Source organism: Homo sapiens, chromosome 3 (assembly GCF_000001405.40).
Source record: "Homo sapiens chromosome 3, GRCh38.p14 Primary Assembly".
Lineage (NCBI taxonomy): Eukaryota > Metazoa > Chordata > Mammalia > Primates > Hominidae > Homo > Homo sapiens.
In genome coordinates, this window is record NC_000003.12 from 150,350,646 (window position 1) to 150,357,962 (window position 7,317).

The following is a 7,317-nucleotide window of genomic DNA, read 5'->3' on the forward strand; positions in this document are numbered from 1 at the left end:
ATCCATTATACTGCAAAGTTAAACGATCACTGTTTTTCAAAGTCTTCCTGATTTCTCTGCCAACAGAGATGTGCTAGAACCAATATTACCCTCTTCTGGTGGTGGGGTGCTGAATGGCTTTGCAACAACAGAAACTAAATACATCTGGGCAAACTGAATGGCAGGAAATGGTGACCAATGAGATTTGCAGAGACCATTTGGGGGGAAGTTTTTAAAGGACTCAACATGCATATATCATCTCCCCTACCTCACCCTTCCTATTCCCCCTGCCCTCACACCCTCACACTGCCAAAGTGGAATTCAGTAGCATTGAAGGAATAAAAATATCCAGTGCAAAGGATTTCCTTTTTTTTTTGAGACAGAGTCTCGCTCTGTCACCCAGGCTGGAGTGCAATTGCACAAACTCAGCTCACTGCAACCTCCGCCTCCTGGGTTCAAATGATTCTCCTGTCTCAGCCTCCTGAGTAGCTGGGATTACAGGTGTGTGCCACCACGCCCAGCTAATTTTTGTATTTTTAGTAGAGACAGAGTTTCATTATGTTGGCCAGGTTGGTCTCGAACCCCTGACCTCAGGTGATACTCCCAAAGTCCTGGGATTACAGGCGTGAACCACCACACCTGGCATTGCAGAGGATTTTCTAAGATGGAGTCTGCAGCATTTTCCTTGGGGGGTCATTTACTCACTCCTGCCTCCCCAACCCCTATTCCATTCTGAGCCTGGAGTATCAAAGATACCAAAGGTATTGAAACTCTCCTCACACTAACTTATACGTCATGCGTCAGCCTCACCATTGCTGGGTGGGGATGGCAGGGAAGTATGCATGAATTTCTCTGAACCATTTTTCCGGTTCAAGCAAAAAGCAAAGGAAATGAAGGAATCTGTCTCATGCACAAAGCACAGACTATGATTCTCCTCTAAGACATGTGCCCACAAGTAGACTATCATTATTTGAGGTAACCTTGAGTATAATTAAAAACCTTTCAGCACTCTAGTCATATTTCCTGTCACAAGGACAAGATGATACACTGAGAACTGATCAGGCTTAACTGTACCAGCAATGAAAGTAAACAGGGCATTATATGAACATACTCCCCTGTATATACAATTGTGTATTGGCAAAAATTAACATCCTTCAACCACTCTTGGAAAATATACTTTATTCAAATGATTTTTAGAAGGAGCAGAATTAGGGAGATGTAGAAATCTTTCACTCATGCATTTGTGATCAATATTTTTTGAATACATAATACAGGATACATACACATTGTTGAGGAAATGAATAAATGGTTTCTATAACTCCCCATTTCTACTCCTAAACTTGTACACTTTAGTGGCCCAGTATTTTAGAGTACCATTGACAATCAGGCTCAATCAAAGGAAATGTAATCATAGTAGTAGCAGATTTTATTCTCTCTTTCTTTCTTACACAGTGCAAGAAAAAAATAATGTGAAGACTGGGGGAAAAACTGCTCCATGTAGCTTTTGTCCAGGAAGCCTGATGTGTGTTTCTTATGGCCTTCCCTCCCCTATTTAACTTGGATAAAGATGGCCTCTTTTGAGAAAATTCACTCACCAAAGCTCTAATGCCCGAGCTTATAAAAGGAGAGCTATATCACAAGTGGAAGATGACAGAAGAATGTTACTAAGAGCACCAGAGTTTCAAAGCTTCGTCCTTCCTCTGCCAGTCTGGAATCCAAATCTGGAGCAACATGCTTTTGCTTGCAATGTCTTCTCTTCAAAGTAGGAAATGAAATTTTAAAAACAAGTGAACTAATCAAAGGTGGGATTTACTTGTCTGCTTTCAAACTAACAGATAATAATGATTCCTTCCCTCAGACGGCATTTGAAAAATTGCATACAATTAAAAAGACCATGTATTTACCACTTTTGTACTTTATCTAATAGTTAATGCCAAAAGGTATTAGATCTGATAACAATGACTATTACTGTACTATTTTGTAATATTCACTGCACATTCAGTATTTTACTAGTTGGAAATATTAATAGTATTAATAGTATTAAAAGCATGGTTCCTACCTTGATGGAGTTCACCTGATTGGAGAAAAAAGGTATTATTTGCTGGTAGATGTGTGATTATTTACAATGACTCATATTACTCATATTCTCTATTCTGAGCTCTGCCACCCTACTCTAGGTAGCCCTAAGCAAATTATTTAAATCTCCCCAATGCCTCAGTTTTCTCATCTGTAAAATAGAACTTTGGGAGGTAATGAGGGTTAAATGAGGTCTTGAGAGTGGGCCCCTGGTCCTATGGGATTACTGCCCTTATAAGAAGAGACACTACTCTCTTTACTTGCGCATACACCAAGGAAAGGCCACGCGTGCACACAGTGGCCTTCCTCAGCTATTCAGTGAGAATTAATTAATGTTTGAGATCTTCAGATAAAAAGACTCTCTGGATGTGCAGAGGGCTATTACACAAACAATAAAACTGCATTTATACACCACTTGGCATGATTCATACAAAAAGAAACAAATTCCTGCAAGCTCTGCGTTCTGTCAAGACCAGGATATACATCTGTCCATTGGTGGTGTTAAGCCTTAGACTCTGTCCAACAGAAATATAACATAACTCACATATGTAATCTTAAATTTTCAAGTTACCAAATTAAAAAAGGAACAAGTAAATATATTTTAATAACATATTTTAGCTTAATATATACAAAATATTATTTCAACATGTAATTAATAAGCAAATATTAATGAGTTATTTTACATTCTTTTAACTGTTTTTGAAATCTAGTGCATATTTTACACTCACATCTCAATCTCAATTTGGACTGACCAAATTTTGAATGCTCACAGCCAATTGTGGCTCTAGTGGCTCACCTATTGGAGAACACAAGTCTAAGAGTTTGCTCCAGGCTGTGACATCCATTCATCCACGTGCTGGTTTCTCTTAGGTGGATAGGTTGGTAGAGTCAACTTTACTCCATTTTCATCCCATGTACTGTTGGGCTTCAGCGCTGGTGATACTAGAAAGTCCTTGTTTCCAGTAGCACTCAGGAGATTAGCAAGATGGCAATGAAGGATGCTCCAGAGAAAATAAATAAATAAATCTCCCCCACTTCTTCTATCCTCACAGAGGGATATCTTGAGACATTTATGGCAAAGTCCCTCTCTGTTTTCTACCATGACCCCCAGAACACACTTGGCATCCCGCAGAAAATACACAGAATCACAGCATCACCCCTGAATCTCCACTTAAGAACATTATGTCAATTTTAAGTGGTTCCCAATAAACTAGAGTTTGAAGTGCAATAAACAAAATATTTTTTGTTTTGCTTGTTTTGTTTCATTTCATTTCTTTGGGGGGCAGTGGCTGCCATTGTTGGATTTTTGGATTTTTCAGTTGATTGGTAGTTCTTTTAAAAATATCTTTTACTACATAAAATTATTAAGGATATGACCCATTCTCGATTTCAGCCTTTAAACTCATTTGCTTTAGACAAACTGTAACTCAAAAACAATTTTTTTTTCAAAGTTAATTTGAAGCAGCCAAGCCAAAACATAATTTTACATAATGGCTTGCAAAGTGCAAAATACTCAAAAAAGAATATGCCTTACTTGGAGACATGTTGGCCATTTCACTTTTCTCACTGATCATTGTTGAGAACCTCTGTCCTTGCTAATCTCCAAATTTCACATTGAAATCCTATATCTTGCCGTTTCTACCTGAGCCCAAGTCTTGAATGCTGCCTAGTCTCCTGCCCTAAGCTTGTTATCTGTGACCTTCTTCACAGAAATTACTGCATTATCTTGAGGTCATCAAATGTTTATTGAACATCTCCTTTGGGCAAAACCTTGTGCAGGGCACCACAGGGAATGCTAACATAAGTATAAGGAAAGACCTGCCTTCAAGCTACCTATAAGGTGGAAGAAGTGATAAGAAACATATACTAATAAAGAGAGTGAAACAAAAGACCAACCCATAGGAGAAATACAAAGAACCCCTTATACAAGGATATACTAGTCAGCTCAGGCTGCCATAATAAAATAAAATATCATAGACTGGGTGGCTTAAACAACAGAAAGTTTTTTCACAGTTCTGGAAGCTAGAAGCATCAGATCAAGATCCAACAGAGTCGTTTCTCTGAGGGCTCTCTTCTGGCTTGTAGAGACAGCTGCCTTCTCACTGTGTGCTCGCGTGGCCTTTCCTTGGTGTATGTTAACAGAGTAGTGTCTCTTCTTATAAGGGCAGTGATCCCATAGGACCAAGGGCCCATTCTCAAGACCTCATTTAACCCTCATTACCTCCCAAAGGCCCCATCTCTAAATAACACAGCATTGGGGATTAGGTCTTCAACATATGAATTTGGTGGGGTGGAAGAGACACAAATATTCAGTCCATAACAAAGAGTGTAAGAGTAAAGAAGCCCTACCTAGTTGGGTTGATAAGCAAAGCTTTTATAGTGGAGATTGCACCTAAGAAAGCTATTAAGGTGCCCTCTCTTCTGAGTACTAACAGACGTCATGCATCAAGGGCCAAATAGATGAAATAGCATTTGTACATCAGTGCAGCTATTTCTGATCAACCTCTTACCCTGGCATTTTGCTTATGTGGCCTTCACTTCTCTTTACTGAGCTGCAGGCCTACATATCAATCTGCTCACTGGATATCCTTTATGACCCAAAAGTATCTAAAACTCACCATGTCCAAAGCAAAATTCATTATCTTCCACCATCCCACTTGTTCTTGCTCCTGTCTTCCCAAATTCCTCCTACCTCATCTTGAATCTAATCGCCAAAAAGACCTGTCAAATCCACTCCTTATATTTCTTATTCCCACACCCACCTCCACTGCCTGACCATCAATATCTTTCTTTTGAACTCCTAAATATAATAATTATATTACATTTTAAAAATAATAGCTAGTATGTATTAAGAGCTATATGGCAGGCTCTTCCTTGAGCACTTTATATGTATTGTTTCTTTTAATCTTCACAGCTATTATTATTGTATTTTTCAGATGAGGAAACCAGCTTTGCCCACACACACATTTGCTAAGTCATAGAAGCAGTTTTGAATCTCAACACTCTGAATTCAGAATTTGCCCTTATCATGACCCTTGTGGATGCTCCCTTCTCAGCAGTGAACTCCCCCCTTCCAGACTACTCCCCTTCAATTCATCCTTCATTCCTTTGCCAGCACGGTCTGTCTAAAATGCAGTCTGATGTTCTCACTTCCTGCCTTTGAATCCTTCAATGGCTTCCATTTCCTATTGGATAAAACTCCATGGAACCCAGCACCACAAAACCCTCCAGGTTGTAGCCCTGTCTTTCTCTCCAATTTTGTCTCCTTTTGCTTCCTCACCTCAGTCCTCTAGCAATTTTAACCACCTACTGTTCTCAGAATGTGCCACTCCATGATGTGCCTCCAAGCTGACACATGTGCTGTTCCCTCTTCACAGAGTATTTTTACTCATTAACTGACCACATGCCTTCCCATTCAAACTCCTATGTGTTTTTTTGTTTTGTTTTGTTTTTGAGGAGTTTTGCTCTTCTTGCCCAGGCCGAAGTGCAATGGCGCAATCTCAGCTCACTGCAACGTCTGCCTCCTGGGTTCAAGTGATTCACCTGCCTCAGCCTCCCAAGTAGCTGGGATTACAGGTGTGCACCAGCACACCCAGCTAATTTTGTATTTTTAGTAGAGCTGGATTTCACCATGTTGGTCAGGCTGGTCTCGAACTCCTGACCTCAGGTGATTCACCCGCCTTGGCTTCCCAAAGTGCTGGGATTACAGGCCTGAGCCAATGCACTTGGCCTTCCTATGTATTTTTTAAATCCCAGCATGGACGGAATTTCTATGAATGTACCTTGAGATCAGCCCCTCAAAGAAACAGGCTGATTAGGTAAAAATCATCTACTAAAAGTGAATTCCTGAATGATCAATTTGTCAAGTGACCAACCTACCAAATTTATCAAAAATTTAAAATGTTCAACTATTTCAAAGGCTTACAATAACTCATCTTGGATGGAATGGTTTATACAGCTTTTTAAAGATTTCTGTGAGGCTATAGTTGTCCAGATAAATTAATTGATCCCAGGGTCCTGACCCTGAAGTTGTCCACTCTTTTCTCTCTGTGGCTCTGTACCATGTTCACACTTGTCTGATGCACTTATCACTCTGTGGGATAATTATTTCACAGTCTGAGGTCCCCAGAAGACTGGGAGTCCTGTAAGGGTCTGGCCTATGTATTTTTGCCTCTCATCCTGTACCCAGTAGAATATGGTGTATGGTGAAGTTTCAATAAATATCATATTAAATTGAACCTTAGCCAGTCAATAAATGAGCACTCATGTAATACTCCTTTTCATTCATATAGAAAGGTAAATTATTATATAAAACAATTATTATACATTCTAGAAATTTAGGAAGTATATAATCTGTGTATTCAGGCCTGCTCCTGACATTTTTAGGGGCTGCCTCAAGTACAAATGAAGGATAATACACCTATCATGTGCCAAAATGTTTTAAAGTTATGAAAGCAAACTACTAAATAAAAAATATTATCTCTTTTTTTCCTTAAAAAATGTAAGCCTCAAAATTATCTGGAAGATGGGATTAAATTTAGAATTCTCAGTGGCAGTGTGGGTCTATCCAAACCCAGACACTTGTCTTTGGTTCCTGGCCCAGGGCTTTAGTTCACACCTCTTTCTACTCTCAGCTCAGTTCCACACTGTGAAGTACCATACACACATGCACACACTCACCTAGACACCCAGCTACCTTAAACAGTGCCTCTTGGCTACCTTTTGATGCCACAGTGGTACAACTTACCCTCAGGAGGCCAGGCCCTGGGATGATTACGTTTCAATTTAATGTAAGATCTTTGGGGCAAAGAATTCCCAGTCCTATTCAGCTAAAATATTCTTGGCTTGCAGCCATTAAATATTATGTTGGAAATTGAAAGGTATTTATGGTATATTAAATTTTAAAAGCAGGGTTTGAAGGTTTTAAGACATCTATATGATTTATTTTTGTGAAAAATTTTATGCATGTATATAAGTGCATAGAAAAAAGTCTAAATCAGGTATACATCAAATTTATTATGGTTGCTATTATCTCCACATGGTGGGATCAGGTATATTTTTCTTTTTACTTATCTGCATTTTATATGTTTCCATTATGAATACACATTATGTTATTTTTAAAATAATAAAAGTTAAAAATCAAAAACATAAAAATAGTAATGTACTTATACTGGGATAATTTCTACACTGCCTAAGTGAAACATGGTATTTGTTAAAACCTCAGCAATTTAGTACTTCCTATCCAAGAATAGTAGAGGATTG

The 7,317-nt window shown here is 38.8% G+C and overlaps 1 long non-coding RNA gene across 1 annotated transcript in view; it reads left to right on the forward strand.

The window, feature by feature from the left end:
* The window catches only part of LOC107986141 (uncharacterized), a 46,871-nt gene extending 44,227 nt beyond the window's left edge, over positions 1–2,644 (forward strand). The window contains exon 3 of the long non-coding RNA XR_001740958.1: positions 1,432–2,644. This is a non-coding gene — a long non-coding RNA (uncharacterized LOC107986141). The remainder of the gene's footprint in view (positions 1–1,431) is intronic.
* The last annotated feature ends 4,673 nt before the right edge of the window (positions 2,645–7,317 follow it).